General features: G+C 42.5%; 1 long non-coding RNA gene across 1 annotated transcript in view, besides 1 other annotated feature; it reads right to left on the bottom strand.

Moving 5' to 3' along the window:
- Positions 1 to 19424, bottom strand: part of LOC105373611 (uncharacterized) — a 241632-nt gene that overhangs the window by 56119 nt on the left and 166089 nt on the right. The window lies entirely within an intron of this gene.
- Positions 6428 to 6929: an enhancer, noted in NCBI's record as "H3K4me1 hESC enhancer chr2:129338761-129339262 (GRCh37/hg19 assembly coordinates)". NCBI's record gives its function as "activates a minimal SCP1, AML or CMV promoter by ChIP-STARR-seq in primed H9 embryonic stem cells {active_cell/tissue: H9 hESC(primed)}" and the evidence as "EXISTENCE:reporter gene assay evidence [ECO:0000049][PMID:30033119]".

The following is a 19424-nucleotide window of genomic DNA, read 5'->3' as shown; positions in this document are numbered from 1 at the left end:
AGTTAAGGCAACTAGTATAGTCTGGACATTTGTCCCCTCCAAATCTCACGTTAAAGTGTGATGCCCAGTGTTGGAGGTGGGGCTGAGTGGGAGACGTGTGGGTTGTGGAAGCTGATCCCTCATAAACGGCTTGGTGCTGCCCCAGCAGCAATGAGCAAGTTCTCATTCTATTAGTTTCCAAGAGAGCTGGTTGCTAAAAAGAGCCTGGCACCTCCTTCCCCACCTCTTTCTCTTCCTTCTTTTCTCTCCATGTGACACCTGCTCCACCATGAGTGGAAACAGCTTGAGGTCCTCACCAGAAGCAGATGCTGGCTTCATGCTTCTTATACAGCCTGCAGAACTGTGAGACAAGTAAACCTCTTTTCATTATAAATACCAGCCTCAGGTATCCCTTTAAAGCAACAGAAAGAGACTAAGACAGTAACAAAGGATCATGATCCCTGAAAGATGGGGGAAATGACGTGAGCCCTCAAATTGCCCCCGTTTGTTGTCCTGAGGGTTTCCAGGCCAAAACCCAGGGACAGTAAATTCAGGAGGAGCCTGGCAGACTCCCTGTTGCAGAGATGGAGCTGAGAGCCCAAGACATCTAAGGCCTCCAGAGTCCACAGAACAGAGTGCTGAGAGGGAGAGAGCTGCTTAGGAAGAAAACTCCTCAAAGAGGACCTGCTGCAAGTCTTCAGCTGAGAACTGATCAGTGCACGCTTCAGAGGAAAATACTAGAGGCCAGGGAAAGTACCACTCTGAAGAATCAGAGGTAACAGTTCCCATCAACAAGGTAACAAGGCTGGGAATAGTGCCTGGGCCCACCAACCATACTGAAAACCACAAGACTCGTGGGGCCTTAGCAATGGGAAACACTAGGCTTAAAATAAGCAACGTGCCAGGCGCGGCGGCTCATGCCTGTAATCCCGGCACTTTGGGAAGCCCAGGCGGGCAGATCATGAGGTCAGGAGATCGAGACCACCCTGGCTAACACGGTGAAACCCCGTCTCTACTAAAAAAAAAAAATACAAAAAATTAGCAGGGCACGGTGGCGGGCACCCGTAGTCCCATCTACTCAGGAGGCTGAGGCAGGAGAATGGCGTGAACCCGGGAGGCGGAGCTTGCAGTGAGCCGAGATAGCGCCACTGCAGTCCGGCCTGGGTGAAAGAGGGAGGCTCCGTCAAAAAAAAAAAAAAAAAAAAAAAAAAGAGCAATGCTCCTAACAAATCTCAAAGGCAAGGCCCAAAAGGATCAAACTGTTTCCAAGTACTTAATTGTGTCCCCAAACAAAGCTCAAGACTATGTGTAGGAGTACAAAAATATCCAGCACCTAACAATGTAAAACTCACAATATCTAGCATCAATTAAAAATCAGCAGGTGCACAAGGAAACAAGAAAATAGAAGTGACAATGAATACTTCAACCAGTCACTCAAAACTGACCCAAAGCTGATGCAGATGTTAGAATTAACAGGTAAGGACATATAAACCAGAGCCAGAACTAGGATGAGGCATGAGAAGCACAAGGGCAGAAAATTTTAGGCGGCACAGACTCTCAGGCTTGTGCAAATACAGACCATAAGTCAAAAGTGTACAGTCATGCACAGCATGAGGATGTTCTGGTCAATGAGAGACCATATATATGATGGGGGTCTCACAAGATTATAATGGAGCTGGGAAATTCCTATCACCTAGTGACATCTTAACAATCCCAAAGCCTAGCCTGCGTAGGTCTAGGCCAATGTGTGTGTGTGTGTCTTCGTTTTTAACAAAACAGTTTCAAAAGTAAAAAAAAAAAGAAAAGAAAGAAAGAAAAAGAAAATAGCTTATAGAATAAGGATATAAAGAAAAATATTTTTATACAGCTGTATGATGTGTTTGTGTTTTAAGTAAACACATTATACATTACAAAAGAGTTAAATTAACTTTAAAATTTTTACATTAAAATTTAAAAGTTTATAAAGGAAATAAGTTACAGTAAGCTAAAGTTAGTTTATTATTGAAAAAAGAAAAAACATTTTTATAAATGTAGTGTAGCCTAAGTGTAGAGTGTTTATAAAGCCTACGGTAGTGTACAGTAATGTCCCAGGCCTTCATGTTCACTCAGCACTCACTCACTGACTCATTTAGCACTCACTCACTGACTCACCCAGCACAACTTCTAGTTCTGCAAGCTCCATCCATGGTCAGTGCCCTATACAGATGTATCATTTTTTATCTTTACAGTATTTTAACTGTACCTTATCTATGTTTAAACCTGTTTAGATAAATACTCACCGTTGTATTACAATTGCCTACGGTATTCAGTATAGCAACCTGCTGTACAGGTTTGTGGCCTGTGAGCAATAGGCTATACCATATAGCATAGGGGCAGGTGTGTGGTAGACTATCTCACCTATGTTTGTGTAAGTACACTCTATGATGTTCACACAATGATAAAATCGCCTAATGATGCATTTCTCAGAACATATCTCTGTTGCTAAGTGATGTATGACTGTATACTATAAAACTTAAAGCAACGACAAAAATAACAAAACAAAGCCAAAATAGTAGATAACAAAGTTACTTTTTAGAATATTTAATATATCCCAAAGAAAGCAGAGAAAGAGGTAAAAGAGACCAAGAATGGGTGGCACCAACATAAAACAAATAGCAAGATAATAGATTTAAACTTAACAATGTCAATAATTACATTATATATAAATGGCCTAAATACCTCCAATTAAATGGCAGATATTGTCAGACTGAATAAAAAATCAATACCTCACAATATGCTGCCTATAAGAAATATGCTTTAAGTAAAGACACAAATAAGTTAAAAGGACAGGAAAAAGATATGCCATGCTAAAGACACTAAGAAAAAGAAATCTGGAGTGACGATATTAGTATCAGATAAAGTAGGTCTCAGGGCAAAAATATCTATATTACTATGGGCTAGAAAGTTTATCTTATAATAATACAGTGGTAATCTCATCACAAAAACATAAAAGTCATACCCATTTTTGCCTTCATAGCAGAGTTCCAAAGTTACATGAATAAAAAACTGATAGAACTGCAAGGAGCAATAGATAAACCTACAGTTATAGTTAGACATTACAATACTCATTTCTCAATAACTGATCAATTAAGCAGAAAGAAAATTAGTAAAAATATTGATGATTTGAACCACACTGTCAACCAAGCTGACCCAAAAGCTACTAACAGGATGCTCCATGCAAGAAAAGCAGAATACACAACATTTCGCTCAAGCACACTCCAAACATTTCGTATACATACTCTTCTCAACCACACTCCGAACATTACCTGTACACATTCTTCTCACGCACACTCCCAACATTTCCCGGATACGTTCCTCTCAAGCACACTCTGAACACTCATTGCACACGTTCTTCTCAAACACGCTCAGATCATTTCCTGTACACGTTCTTCCCAAGCACACTCTGAACATTTCCTGTACACATTCTTCTGAAGCATACTCAGAACATTTACTTAGATAAACCATGTTCTGGACCAGAAAACACATACACATCTGTATCAGTTTAAGAAGTTTCAAGGAATACAGTCTGTTCTCTGACCACAAATAAATTATATTAGAAATCAAAAGCAGAAAGACATTTGAAATGGTTTCAAATATCTGAAAACTAAGCAACACACTTCTAAATAACATAAAACAAAGAATAAGTCAAAAGTTAAATTAGAAATTATTTTGAACTGATGAAAATAAAAACATTATATCAAAATTTATGCAATGCCACTTAAGAAGTACTGACAGAAAATCTGCAGCACTTTATAAACACCCATACCAGAAAGTAAGAAAAGTCTTAAATCAATGATATCACCTTGAGAAATTAGAACACAAAAGAAAATTAAACCCAAAGTAAGTAGAAAAAAGGAAATAATAGAAATACAGAAAACTGAAAAAAATATATATATATATAAATCAACAAAACCAAAATTCAGTTCCTTGGAAAGATTAATAATATTATCAAACACATAAGGGAAGAGAGAAAGTCACAAATTACCAAAATCATGAATGGGAGAAGGGACATTACTCACAAAAGGATAATAAAGGAATATTATTGTACTGTGTTAAATAAAATTCCAAAAAAATTGTGTGTATCTGGAACCTGTGAGTATGACATTCCTTGTAAATAGGATATTTGCAGACGTAATCAAGTTAATATGAGGTTATGCTGGATTGGAATGAATCCTAAATCCAATGATTGGTGTCCTTATAAGACAGGAAGATTTGGACACGGAGAGACACACAGGGAAAATGTCACATGAAGGTGGAAGCAGAGACTAAAGTACCTAAGAGCCACAGAAGGCTAAGGATTTCCATAAACCACCAGAAACCAGGAGAGAGGTGTGGAACAAGTTCCACCCAGAGCCTCTGGAAGGAACCAACCCTGCCCATACCTTCATTTTGGACTTCTAACCTCCACAAACGTGAGATTTCTGTTGTTTTAAGCCACTCAGTTTATGGTAATTTGCTACAGAAACCCTAGGAAAGTGATATAATTATAAACAAATTTATGCCAATACATTTGAAAATTTAAATAAGATGGGTAAATTTATTGAAAGTAACAAACTAGCAAAACTCACACAAAAAGAAATAGATAACCTATCTATCTCTGTATCTATTAAGAAAACAAAATTATAGTAAAATGTTTTCCACAGAGAAAACTCCTGGCCCAGAAAAATTAACTAATTCCACCAAACATTTAAGGAAGAAATAATACAAGTTCTACCAAAAAGTTATTCCAGAAAACAAAAGAGGAAGGAATACTTCTTAACTGATTATAAAAGCCATCATTACCTGATTCCAAAGCCAGGAAAAGGCATTACAAAAAATATAAAACTACAGATCAATATCCCTTGTGAACATAGACATAAAAATTCTTAACAAAATGATAGTAAATCAAATCCAGCAATGTATAAAAAGATCAGTACATCATGGCCAAATTTATCTGAGGAATGCAAGATTCATTTAGCATTCCCAAATCAACAAATGTAATCTCCATATTAACAAACTAAAACAGAAAAACTATATTTTCATCTCAATCGATAGAGAAAAAACATTTGAGACAATCCAGCACCCATTCTTCACAAAAGCACTTAACAAAGTGTAAAAAGAAGGGGGCTTCTTCAACCTGATAAAGGATGTCAAAAAAAAAAACAAAAACCTACAGAAACATCATACTGAATAGTGACAGACTGAAGATATTCCCAGATATTCCCCTAAGACCAGGAGCGAGATGTCTGCTCACCACTTCTATTCTATTCAACATTGCACTGAAAGATCTCATCAGCACAATACAATAAGGCAAAAAAAAAGAAAAGAAAAGAAAGAAAGAAAGAAAGAAAGAAAGAAAGAAAGAAAGAAAGAAAGAAAGAAAGAGCGAGCATTCAGGTTGGAAAGGAAGAATTAAAATTCTCTATTCGCAGGTGCCATGATCATCTATGTAGAAAATTCAGTGGAAATTGTCTTAAAATGCCTCAAACTGATAGGTGAGGGTAGCAAGCTTGCAGGTTACAGAGTCCTATACAAAAAAAAAAAAAAAAAAAAAAAAAAAACCTATTGTATTTCTGTATACTAGCAATAAAAATCATACGTTAAAATCCTTTAAATACCATGAAAGTAGCATCAGAAAATATGAAATTATGGAATAAACCTGATGAAAGATTTGGAAACTACAAAACACTGTTGAGAGAAATTAAAGGAGGCTTATATCATGTTCTTGGGTGAGAAGACTCAATAGGATTAGGATGTCAGTTCTCCCCAAATTCATCTACAGATTCAACATAATCCCACTCAAGCAGATTTTTTTGTACATCATAACAAAATGATCATAAAATGTATATGTAAATGCAAAAGACTTAGAATATCTACAACAACTTCGAAAAAAAAGGACAAAGAGAACTAACACTCCTGATTTTAAGACTGGCTACAAAGCTCCAGTAATTATATGACAGAGTGGCACTGTCATAAAGACAGTCAAATAAGTCACGGGAACAGAAGGGAGGTGGTGCCCCTCTGCAGTAACCTTGCACAGCTCATCTGCAAGGCTGCAGGCCAGCCCTGAAGCCCTACCTGGGCTCACAAGGGAATGTGCACCTGTGAGCTCTGCCTGCTCCAGGCAGCCTCTGCACAGCTGCAGCTCAAACACCTCTGCATCCTCCTCCTGGATGGGCCTCTTCCACCCAGGTCATCCCCAGAGGCCAGGGACACCAATTGAACTCCCTCCTTTCCTTATTCTTTCCTTATTTTGTCACCTACCCAAGGTCCTGGAGACTTGACTTTCAGTGTCATTGGCCAGCAGTCTGTCCTAAAGTCCTCTGTATTCAGAGGCCAAGAGACTGGCCTAGGCCCGGTAAGGCTCCGGGGAGCTGGCCCAGCCTGGCCTGCCAGTCAGTGTTCCTGTGACAGGCACAAGGTGAGCACCCAGCCCATTCCCATGGAACCCACTTGCTGTAGTGACACACAGGAAGAGGAAGCAAGGGACTGCTATTGAAGGCCCTGTCCACAGCTCTGTGGCTAGAGGCAGGTCACCGGCCTCACAGAGCCTATGGTGGGAGTGAGACAAATGGGTTGACAGGTGCCCACATGGTTGCCAGGCACATTTCAGAGAGCAGGTGTATGCTGCTCAGGCAGCCAAAGGGCCTCACCTGGCCAAGGTGGGCCACAAGGCAGCCCAGAGGAGGTGGCTTCAAACCAAGTCCTGGAGGACAAGCAGGAGCCAGCTCTAACTCTATGTAAGTCCTCTGTGCGAGTGTTGCTCTCTGGGGTCAATTACAAGGATGAGGATGAAGCAGAGGGGACGGGAGTGTGTGGTGGAGCCAGGTAGTCTGGTTCCAAAGTAAACAGCATTCCCAATCCCATGCCAAGGGAGATGTGGCCGTAAAAGTGGAGACCTGCCCAAAGAAAGCAGCACAGTGGCCTGTAATGCTGTCCAGAGGCCACTGTCATATACCCCATGTCTGCTTGCTGCCCCAGCCTGGCAGCCATGCCCCACTACAGCACTATGCCTGGAGCAGTTGGAATTGGCACCAAGGCTTGCATTATGGCTTGTGTTAGGGGTATGTGGTCTAAGGCAGTGCTCCCCTGGTCCTGTCAGGCCAATGGGGCTTACAGCTGACCTGGTATTCACACCTATAATCCCAGCACTTTGGGAGGCCAAGGTGGGTGGATCACCTGAGGTCAGGAGTTCAAGACCAGCCTGGTCAATATGGCAAAACCATGTCTCTACCAAAAATACAAAAATCAGGCAAGCGTGGTGACGGGCACTTGTAATCCCTGCTGAGGCAGGGGCTGAGGCTGAGGCAGGAGAATCGCTTGAACTCAGGAGGCGGAGGTTGCAGTGAGCTGAGATCGTGCCACTGTACTCTAGCCTGGGTGACAGAGTGAGATCCTGTCTCAAAAAAAAAAAAAAAAAAAGAAGTTGCCTTTGCCAGGTCATGTGATCTACCTTACTTTATTCACAGTATGGGTGTGAAGATGGGCTGTCTCCAATGGCGTTATTCGGCAGGCACTCTGAAGTGCTTCCCCAAACCCTGTTGTCCACTTTCCTGGACTTGAGTAATGGTGCTACTAGTGGCTTTATTTGATCTTCATTAAATTTGGGAATTGTTCTTACCAACTCAGTCAGAGATAAAATATTGTTTTTCATATTTCCAAAGTTTCTTATGATAATGGTCCAGGGCTGGAGTCTGGGATTTCCTCTCTCATCCTCTCCCGATATCGGGTTGAAATTTTGAGAGAGTGAGTTATGTGTTTGTCTGCCTTAGGCATCAGACATTCTTCACTAACAGCATAAAAGATGAGTGAGAAGGCTGCTCTTCCCTAAGACCATGTTATTTGTGGTAATCACTTCTGATATCTTATTATTTGAGTATGGTAGGTTCTTTTGTGTCATATTTTACAGACAGCTTTTGTGATCAATATTTTATATCAATTGGTAGAATTATTGTTTCTCACTTTGCACAAGTGTCTAGCATAGATTATGCTTCCAATATAGATTAAAGAGCAAGCTTGGAAGTTTTTCTTGCCAAATTATTGCTGGCAGTGAGGCAGCCGGGACACCCGGATGGAGGTGGAATCCACTCACCCTCTCCCTATACGGCAGCACAAACAGAGGCTTGGAAGCAGGATGCGCATCTGGTGCCGGCTCTTCCTTGAGGCCCTGTGGCTGAAACAGAGAAACTCCTGCCCTGGTCTTGGCCCCATGGACCAGGCACCTGGGAACCAGCATCCACCAGACTATTCTTTCCTGGACCCCATTGCTGAGTCCTAGGGAAAGGAACTGAGTGGAAATAAATTGGCAGGACATGGAATGTGATTGAAGGGGGGCAATCCTCATTCAATCAAGAGGGAGGCAATTATAATTCCAGATTTGCAGGTTGGGCAGCTGGGCGATGGGGGCCCTGGACTCATACCGATTAAGGAAGAAGACAATGGCATCATTTTTGGACGCATTGGGTCTGGCTTGCTCATGGCACATCCCAGTGATGCCAACTAGCACATAAGCTGTCAACCTCAAATAATGAGGTTCAGAAAATATGATTAACTATAGTTTATTTGAACACAAAGCTTGAGGATGGCCACCCGGGAGACCCCAACTTCGAACGAATGAGGTCAGCATCCCAAAGTGAAGTTAAGGTTTCACTCACCTAGACAGAGACAGGGAAGTCTTAGCAGGAACAACATTTTCCATAAAGACAAGCATATAGGGTGCGGGGATTGACTGGTTACAGATTGCTGCATGCCAAGGAAGAATGTTTTATTACTCCATGAGGAGGGGCAGTGATCTGAGGGCGTTTTATCTCTGGCACCACTTGGTCTTTATTATTTACAGGGGAAAAAAGGCACAAGGTGCAACCACGTGACTCAGGCTGCATAGCCACATTCCTCTCAAGGCTCAGAACAATTTAAAGTCCAACAGCTTTAACTTTGAATTATTAAATTTCACAGAGCCAATGAGAAGAGGTCAGATGTAACAATACAGATTTGAGAGTCATTAGTGCTCATCTGACTCACTCCCCCAGCAAATGTTTATTGAGGGCCATATGGGCATAGGACAAGAATAGGAACTTCTTGAATAAGAAACCATATTCGGCTGGGGTCCAGGTGTTGGGGGCGGCTCAGAAGGCAGAGGTTGGGCGGCCAGCAGGCTGGAAGAACTGTGGAGCTCTAGAGAGTGTGGTGGGGGTGGTGAAGGGACAGCCATGGGCAGCGAGGGATGGATTCCTAGGGCTAAGGAGTCCAGCAGTACCACAGCCAACTTTGGGAGAATTGCGGGTCTACAGCTTGGGAGCTGCTGGCAGTGTTAGGAGGTGATCAGGCAAAGGCTTAGTGGATCAGGAGGAGGGAAGACCACCCGTGGGTGGGGAGCCTCAGAGGAAGGGAACCTGCAGGTGGCATAGGGGCCATGCCCATCCCCACGCAGCCCTGTCCTCTGCTCTGTCTGTGCACTGTTGACAACCAGGAGAAACAGCTCAGGGACAGAGTCCAGCAGGAACAGGGCAGGTGGGAGGACAGCCACTAGGGCGGGGCCAGGGCTCTGCCCAGGGTCTTCCAGCCACCTGGATCTTTGGGTGAGAGTGGAACATGAGGTGATGGAGAGGGGATGGAGGGACTCACTTTACACCTCACTGCCTCCAGCAACTGGAAGCCACACAGCAATTTAAGGAGGGTTGTTCTGCCCTGGAGTCTCCCTAGAGTGGAGAGGAGGGAGGGAGGAAGGAAGCAAACTCACTTTGCCCTTCCCCGCCTCCAGCATGCACAGACAAGAGGTTGATTCTCTAGCTGACTGACTGTCTTGCTTTTTATATGGATGTTGCCACGTCCAGTTAGCACAATCTTCATCCGTTATCCAAGATTCCTAAGTGAGATTTTTTTTTTTTTTTTTTTTTTTTTTTTTTTGATACGGAGTCTCGCTCTGTCGCCCAGGCCGGACTGCGGACTGCAGTGGCGCAATCTCGGCTCACTGCAAGCTCCGCTTCCCGGGTTCACGCTATTCTCCTGCCTCAGCCTCCCGAGTAGCTGGGACTACAGGCGCCCGCCACCGCGCCCGGCTAATTTTTTTGTATTTTTAGTAGAGACGGGGTTTCACCTTGTTAGCCAGGATGGTCTCGATCTCCTGACCTCATGATCCACCCGCCTCGGCCTCCCAAAGTGCTGGGATTACAGGCGTGAGCCACCGCGCCCGGCCGAGATTTATTCCTTTGTTTTTAATAAGTGGTCAAAAAGCCTTCAGGTTATTAGATAATATGAAACTGTTTTCTGGGTGTCTCACTCAGCCTGGCCTGCTACAACAAAATGCCATGCGTGGGGTGGCTCATAAACAATAGACATTTATTTCTCACAGCTGAAGAGGCTGGGTGCCAGCATGGCTGGGTTCTGGGAAGAGCCCTCTTCAGAGCTGCAGACTTTCAGCTTCTCACTGTGTCCTCACATGGTACAGAGACAGAAGCAGCAAGGTCTCTGGGGTCTCTTGTAAAGCCCTTTACCTCAAGACTCACTCAACTTCCAAAGGCCCCACCTCTTAACACCATCACACTGGGGGTTGGGTTTCAACATAGCAATTTGGGGAGGACATAAATATTCAGACCATAATGCTGGGTCCAGAGTAAGGGAAAATATTTATTAGTATCTCAGGGCAAGACAACATACCTTATTAAGCTAGGAGGTCTTTTTCCCACTTATCCTTAATTGCAAAAACAAATTGACTCCCCATACATGTGCTGCCTATGGGAAGAGACAGGGCCCCGGGGAAGATGCTACAAAGCCTTGATACTCAGACCAGCAGTGTCAGGTGAGCCGTGCCTGGAGGTAGAGGATCTCAAAATGCAGGACTTTGGGCCCCACCCAGACCTTCTGATCCCAATCTCTATTTCGATGAGACCCTCCAGGAGATGACAGTGCACTTTGTAGTTTAAACGCTTTGGACTAGACTCTGTGTACATCCCTGAACAAAATGCCTGTAGCTCCAAGGCTTTCAGGTGAAAACTAGTCCGGAAGCGCAAACCTAATTCTCAACAGTTCTCGGTCAGTCATAACCCTAATTACAGTCAACAATGTTGATGGCTGTTGATACGCCTGCATTTAGTAATCCTCCCAACCCTAGGAGCTGACTATATTATTATGGTCCCCTGGTCCAGGTGGGAATTCTGAGGCTCCTAGAAGTTAGGGAACTTGCTAAGTTCACCCAGTTTGTAAGAGGCAAAGCTGGTCAGCCTGAATCCCCCGGATGCCACGGATTCCCTGGAATGTAAAGGTGTTCGTGGGGTCCATGGTATTGGACAGCTCAGTGATGCTCCTGAGCAATGCTGGACCGTGCAGTTAGTGGTTTCCTGCATCCATATAATGGAATGATATTCCATATGCAGCAACGATGTTTTTAAAACCACCAGTGATACAGGGGAATCCTCATTTTGAAATAGTTCTTGAAAAAGTATAATTTAAAAACATATACAATACATACACATATACAGAAAGAGGCAGAGAAAGAGAGAGAGAGACCAGTCCAGTAACTCAAAATATCCATACTAACTGAAGATGTGACTCCCGTATGACTCAATGATTCCACCCCTCTGGGGAGAGGTTCAAGGTTACACTAGAGACATATGCATGAAGAGTCCTCATGTGCACCATTATGACAGCAAAATATTGGAATAAACTCAAATGTCCAGTACTCACGGAATGGATGAGTAAAACATGGAATATTTTCAGTCAATTAAAGACTATCCAGCGTGTTAATAAAAACTAGATCTGGCCAGGTGCGGTGGCTCACGCCTGTAATCCCAGCACTTTGGGAGGCTGAGGCGGGCAGATCACCTGAGATCAGGAGTTCAAGGCCAGCCTGGCCAACATGGTGAAACCCCATCTCTACTAAAATTACCAAAAATTAGCTGGGCGTAGTGGCAGACCCCTGTAATCCCAGCTACTCAGGAGGCTGAGACAGGAGAATCGCTTGAACCCGGGAGGCAGAGGTTGCAGTGAGCCAAGATCTTGCCACTACACTCCAGCCTGGGCAACAAGAGTGAAACTCTGTCTCAAAAAAAAAAAAATAGATATTTATGAATCAACATTAATATTTCTCAAAAAAAGAATGTTTAATCAAAGGTGTGCTGAATAAAACTTTTAGTATAATATCATTTATATGCATTCTTAGAAACATAAAAAACAGTATTCCAAATCACTCATGGTTACACACATATAGACTGAATAGGCTGAAATAGACTGAGAAGATACACATTGAATGACTGGTTGTTGCAACGGGCCTGGGGCAGGGGTGGCGGGCGTCAAGGGGGCCTCAACTCTATACTATGTTTTAATTCCTTAGAAAGCAAAAAAGACTTGCAAGAGATGTAATCTATATTAACAGTTGTTAGTTCTATGTGGTGAATATACAAGTGCTTGTTATATTTGCACTTTTCTGCAATTTTAAGATTTCTATATTTGAATTTATATATCCCATTGAAAAGTTTGGAAGAAAGTACATAAAATATTAATGATGCTGTCCTCTGGGTGATTTTGATTTCTTCTCTTTTTTTGATTTTGAGATGGAGTTTTGCTCTTTTTGCCAAGGCTGGAGTGCAATGGCACAATATCGGCTCACTGCAAACTTCTCCTCCCGGGTTCAAGTGATTCTCCTGCCTCAGACTTCCGAGTAGCTGGGATTACAGGTGCACACCATCGTGTCTGGCTAATTTTGTATTTTTAGTAGGGGCAGGGTTTCACCATGTTGGCCAGACTGGTCTCGAACTCCTGATCTCAGGTGATCTGCCTGCCTCGTCCTCCCAAAGTGCAGGAATTACAGGTGTGAGCCACAGCACTGGCCTCTTCTTTAAATTTTTCTGTATTTTCTAAATTTTCTGTTAGAATCTATAACTTTTATAATCAGTAGATAAATAGATCCACCTCCCAATTTTCCAAGAACAAATGCACTTCACGTCTCTGGGCTTTTGATACAAAGCAGAGCTTATTGTTGAAGCCAAGTATAGTGGAAAATCAACAAATGAGCAATGTTGGTATTTGACAGCAAATTTTCTTAAAGAAAACAACTAGAAATTCAGGAGGTGCAAACTGTTGAGATGAAAGGATTTTAGTGCAGCTTCTCTGTCTCTACTCGGTTCTATCTTATGCCTATTCTGTGGCAAAACAAAGGCAGGGACTACTTCCTAGACATCTGGGTGCTTCTTGCACGCAGTTCATTTTACCTTTGAATGTTAGAACTGGGCCACACATTAGAGATTATCTAGTGACACCCATCATTTTACCATCAGGGAAACTGAGGCCGAGAATGATGAACAGGCTTGCCGGAGGTCAGACTGCGGACAAGAAGTTCAGTCTGACTCTTGCCACACTGCTGCTCTGAGTGCTGCTCAGCATGCTGTGGACAATGGGGGTGAAATCACACTCATGCCCAAATATGAGAAATAAGATAAATGTCAACCAGGCAATGAATTCACATTATCTTAAAAAGAAGTAAACGTAAATTGCATTGTAGAGCAAAGCTAACATAGCTCTCTTCATTAGGCCCAGATTCCTATTTCTGTCCTCAAAGTCTAGTTGCCTGCTTGAGTAGGAGTCTCCTCCTTTATTGAATTCACTTGGTCCCGGATGATGCATTTGGATTTCAGCAGGCACAGGTAAACTACACAGCTGCCCTTCCACCAAGCATTCACTCACTCCATGCAGTACTTCCAGAAAGTGACCTGCATGAAAGCAGAGGGTCTTTCTAAGCGACAGTCAGGGAAAGAGGACCCTTCACCACTTCTGCTCATTCCACGCAGGATTCCCGGGCAGCTGCTCTTCACATTTCCACAGGTGCCTCGGAGAGTTTTAAAGAAATAAAATAATACAGCGACAGTTGAGGTTTGCCCTGTACCCCTCCCTTGTCCCACTCCTTTCCCAGCAAGCAAAGTCCTCTCCTGAAGTTAGCATGCATTCCTCCCGTCCTGAGAAGAATATTTTAATCTGGCCGTGCATCTAAAGAGTGCAGCGTGATGCTTTATTATTACTATTTACACCAAGTCACATTGAATTTATAACACGGAAACATGCTTTCTTCACTCACCATTGTTGCTCTAAGCGGTCTTGGAGTGGAGTCATGTAAATTTAGTTCGTCTATTTTCATTGCTGTTAGAATGTGTGCATAGGAATACACCATAATTTATTTATCCAATTCCCCCCGGTGGGCATGGCGATCTTTCACTACTGTAAACAGTGCTCCTGAAACCTGTTCCTATCTTCCCCTCTCATGGAGGTGCTGCCCTGGGGAGGGTGCCTGGTGCTAAACTCTCCAGTATTACTTATTCAGCCTCATCAGGGCTTACCTTCCTGTCCCCCAAGGCTGGCTGAGCTCCTCTCCTCCCAGCAGCACAGCCTATGCTACCCCAGCCCACGTCCCTCTTGTCACTGCTGCACCCTGTCCAGGGGTGTCCCGTGGCCATATGAATGGGCACTCCCCAGCCCCAGCTGGGGTGGGCGAGCATATTTTTCCATGCCTATTAGCCACTAGGGATTTTTCTTCTGTGAAATGTGTGATCATGTCCTGTGACCATTTTTCTGGAGGATCATTTGTCTTTCTTCTTCCTTGATACTGTCCTTAGGTGACAGGCTCATACCTGAGCCTAGGACCGAGGGTTTTTTAATCTTTTTTAAATCTTTCTTTAACAGGCCCCACTGTGAGATCCACACAGCTCATCACACCAAAGCAATGTCCTGAGTGGGCTGGATGGGAACGCTGTCCCCTCAGGACAGAGGCAGAGGGCAGTGCGATCAAGCGCTTGTGTCTTGCATTTGGAGCTCTGTGGCTGGCTCTGCTGTCCCTAGCTCTTCAGATAAAGGAGGGATGGTGAGCAGCCCAGGCCATCTGAGGAGCCCTGAGGCGCTGGGATAGACGGGATGAGCAGAAGACTTGACCTAGCCTTGCTAACTGCAGCCATTGTGAATAGCTTGTGTCACATCTGATCCGTATTAAGTGAATACAACCTGGCTCAGCTTATTATGAAGTAGAGATATCCTCAACATAAATTTCAGAAAGTAATGATGAAAAAAAGAAAGAGTTGAAGTGAGTTGGAGTCATCATAGTGAGGCTGGGTGCAGTTCTGTGTAGCTCCTTACAGACCCACAGTGGGAAACAGACCCGCAGAGAGGGCAGAGGGGACCCTCCAAAACACCTGGAGTGGAGGGGGGTGGACATTTAAGACAGGATGCCTGCAGAGGAGCCATGGGAGAGGAGGGCTCTGATTTGAACTAAAGTCTTCCAGTGGAAGAGAACCCTAGTGGAAGCAACTTCCCAATGAAATAGCAGGGCAGAGGCATTCTTAGATCCAGAGTGTCCGCTGACCACAGCCCAGCACCCCCACCTTCCTCTGCACAAGCCCCATATCCAGCTACAGGAAACCATGATATGCCTAGCCCTCAAAGTGAAACTCTGAGGGGAAGAAAAAATAACATCCAATAAAATGCAAAGCGAGGCCAGGAGGCATTTCCCACACCATGTTGAAACCAATGGGACGTCTTTTTTTTTTTTTTTGTGAGGAGTCTCACTCTGTTGCCCAAGCTGGAATTCAGTGGCATGATCTCAGTTCCCCGCAACCTCCACCTCCCGGGTTCAAGTGATTTTCCTGCCTCAGCCTCCCAAGTAGTTGGAATTACAGGCATCTGCCACAACGCCCAGCTAATTTTTATATTTTTTAGTAGAGATGAGGTTTCACCCTGTTAGTCAGGCTGGTCTCGAATACCTGACCTCAGGTGATCCACGCGTCTCAGCCTCCCAAAGTGCTGGGATTACAGGTGTGAGCCACTGCGCCCAGCCAACCAATGGGAAGACCTGACGGAGCTACATACATTAAAATGAAAAGAGATGGCATAGCAGCTATGGAGGGGTCCTCAAAAAGTTCATGGTCAATGTCTATTATCAAAAAAACTATGCAGGGATTTCAAATTCTTTTGTGCCAAAATAAACTTGTACTAACTTGTTATAACATGTCTGAACAGAATCTAGTTTGGGGAAACAGGAAAGATAAGACAACAATTTGAAGAGTCCCTATCAGAGCAATATGAATTCTGCTAAAATAGAAGCAAGAACAAAGAGCAAATTTCCGGTGAAACTTGGGTGGAAGAACAGTGACATCATGGATACTTTATGAAAAGCTTATGAGGACAATGCTCCAAAGGAATCAGCAGTTCACAAATCAATAACTCTTTCTAAGAAGGGATGAGTTCATGTTGAAGATGAAGCCCACAGCACCAAACCATCTACATCGACTTGCCAGGAAAAAATTAATCTTGTTTGTGCCCTAATTGAAGAGGGCTGGTGATTAACAGCACAAATAGCCAACACCATAGACCTCTCAATCAGTTCACAATGTAATTGAAAACTGAAGGTTGAGCAAACTTTCCATTTAATGGATGCCAAAACTGTTGCACCAAGATCAGCTGCAGACAAGAGCAGGGTTGCCGATGGAAATCTTAAACAAGTGGGATCGAGATCCTGAAGCGTTTCTTCTAAGAATTGCAATAGATGAAATATGGCTCTGCCAGTATGGTCCTGAAGACAAAAGACAATCAAACCAGTGGCTACCAAGAGGTGGAAAGGGTCCAGTCAAAGCTAAGGTGGACTTGTCAAGAGCAAAGAACTTGGAAACAGTTCTTTAGGATGCTCGAGGCATTTTGCTTGTTGACTTGCAGAAAGCCAAATAACAATAACATCTTATTATGAGAGTGTTTTGATAAAGTTAGCCAAAGCTTTAGCAGAAAAACACCTGGGAAAGCTTCATCAGAGAGTCCTCCTCCACAACAATGCTCTTGTTCATTCTTCTCATCCAACAAGGACAATTCTGTGAGTATTTCAATGGGAAATCACTAGGCAGCCACCTTACAGTACTGATTTGACGTCGTCTGTCTTCTTTTTGCTTCCTAACCTTAAAATTTATTTAAAGGCACCTATTTTTCTTCACTTAACAATGTAAAAAAGTCTGTACTGATATGGTTAAATTCCTAGGATCCTCAGTTCTTTACAGATTAACTAAATGGCTGGTATCACCACTTACAAAAGTGCCTTGAACTTGATGAAACTTACGTTGAGAAATAAATTTTATATATTTTACTTTTATCTTTTAGTTCTATTTTTCTCCCAACTTTTTGAAGTCACCTCATATAAGATCACAAAAATAAATAGATAAAATGTTAAAACATTCTAGGAAAGAAAAAAAAGATGAATAATCAAATCTTGCATGGAGAGGGGAGGAATAAAAAATGGTAGAAAATTCCAAGAGTGCTTCATGTTAAAGAAAATCTTACACAGAACAGAAAGGCAATGAAAGAACTCAAAAATAGAGATTCTGCTAATGTATTTGGAGGAAGTGTACTGATGTCTGCAACTTTGAAATGCAAGGGATTGAGGAATGGAAAGAAAGATTTAGAAAGAAAGAGAGATAGTAAAGCAAATGTAATAAAATCTTGGTTGTAGAATTTAGGTGTTAAGAAGATGGGAGTTCACTGTAAAATTCTGTCATCTTTCCTGTATGTGAAAAGTTTTTATAGTAAGATGCTGAGGCAAGAAGATAATATCTGTTCTTTAAAATTGTCGTAAGGATTACAGGAGATAAATGTGGAAGGGCTCTGCTACACTATGGTGGATTTACAGATTTTAAAGATGATTAAAATGGTAGAATGGCATAACAAGGGGAGATTAAGGAGCTAAGGAAACAAAGAGCTTTTACAGAACTAATAAGTAAATTAGAAACAGAAAAGAAAAGACATGACTGATTACCAAGTTTCTGGCATAGAGGAAATACTGAATATAATCAAAATTAATGCAGAATGAAAAGATAACATGATTAAAGTAATTAAACAGATATCAATGGACATGAAAAGCAAACAAAAAGTATCCAACTTATGGATAAATGGTATCCCTAAATGAGGGAACCTACCAAATGGAAATTAAAATATCCAATGAAAATGAGAAAAAAATTCCTGAAGAAAAAGGAAGAATGTATAACTAAAGTTTGAATGGACACAACATATTTCAGAAGATAATGATACAGGAAAATCAACATCAAATCATTTGCTAGGATAAAGAAGAAATTCTTTAGGTATCCAGCCCCCCCACTCTGCCCCCACAAAAAAAAAAAGTTCCTTACCTAGAAAGAAACCAGGCTGCCTTTAGATTTCTCCTAATACCACCAGATTCCAGAAAACCTCAGAAATAGGTATTTGAAATTCATAGGAGTAAGCTATGACCATAAACTTCCTAGTAAGCCACGTTTAGCAATGGGCAATCTTAAACATGCAAACATTCAAAATATTGGCTACTGTAAAAAAAAGACAGTAAGTGTTGGCAAGGGTTTGGAGAAAAGGACACCCTTATACATTGTTGGTGAGAATGAAAATTGGTACAGCCGTTGTGGAAAACCGTATGGAGATTCCTCAAAAAATTAAAAATAGAACTACCATATCATCTGGCAATCCCACTTCCGGGTATTTACTCAAAGGAAAGGAAATCAGTATCTCAAAGAGATATCTGTACTTCCATGTTCACTGAAGCATTATTTACAATATCAAGATACGGAATCAACTAAATATTGGTCAATGGATGAATGGTCAAAGAAAATGTAACACACACACACACACGCACACACGTGTAACTACATGAAGTGATGAATATACTAATTAGCTTGATTGTGGTGTATATTCCTTTTTTCTTTTTCTTTTTTTTTTTTTTTTTTTTTGAGATAGAGTCTTGCTGTCATCCAGGCTGGAGTGCAGTGGCGCCATCTCGGCTCACTGCAAGCTCCGCCTCCCGGGTTCACACCATTTTCCTGCCTCAGTCTTCCGAGTAGCCGGGACTACAGGCGCCCGCCACCACGCCCAGCTAATTTTTTGTATTTTTAGTAGAGACGGGGTTTCACCGTGTTAGCCAGGATGGTCTCGATCTCCTGACCTTGTGATCCGCCCGCCTCGGCCTCCCAAAGTGCTGGGATTACAGGCTTGAGCCACCGCGCCCGTCCTGTGGTATATATTTCGTAATGTATACATACATCAAATCATCAAGTTGTATGCCTTAAATGCACCCAATTTTTAATTATCAAGTATACCTCAATAATGTTAGAGGAAAGAACCCTCAGTATAACGTAATATTAAAAAGATGATAGAAGTAAGACCAGACTTTCTTGATATATCAACAAGTATAACTGAATAAACTCACATTTTAAAGATTACATTTTAAAAATTTGTTTGTGGAAAACAAAGAGATATATCTGCAGCAAAGTCACTGAGAACCTGAATGTGAATGGCTGGGCAAAGCCAGACAGAGTGAAGCCAGGGCTGTGATGGGGTCATCAGTCAAGGTGATCCGAGGGAAGGCACTGGGGAGAGGAGAAAAGCACTGCGGAATGATAAAGAGTATAATATACAATGAAGTTCTAACT

The sequence above is a fragment of the Homo sapiens genome, chromosome 2 (genome assembly GCF_000001405.40).
Source record: "Homo sapiens chromosome 2, GRCh38.p14 Primary Assembly".
Taxonomy (NCBI): domain Eukaryota; kingdom Metazoa; phylum Chordata; class Mammalia; order Primates; family Hominidae; genus Homo; species Homo sapiens.
The sequence above is the reverse complement of the archived record's forward strand: the minus strand, read 5'-3'. Positions and strand labels throughout refer to the sequence as shown.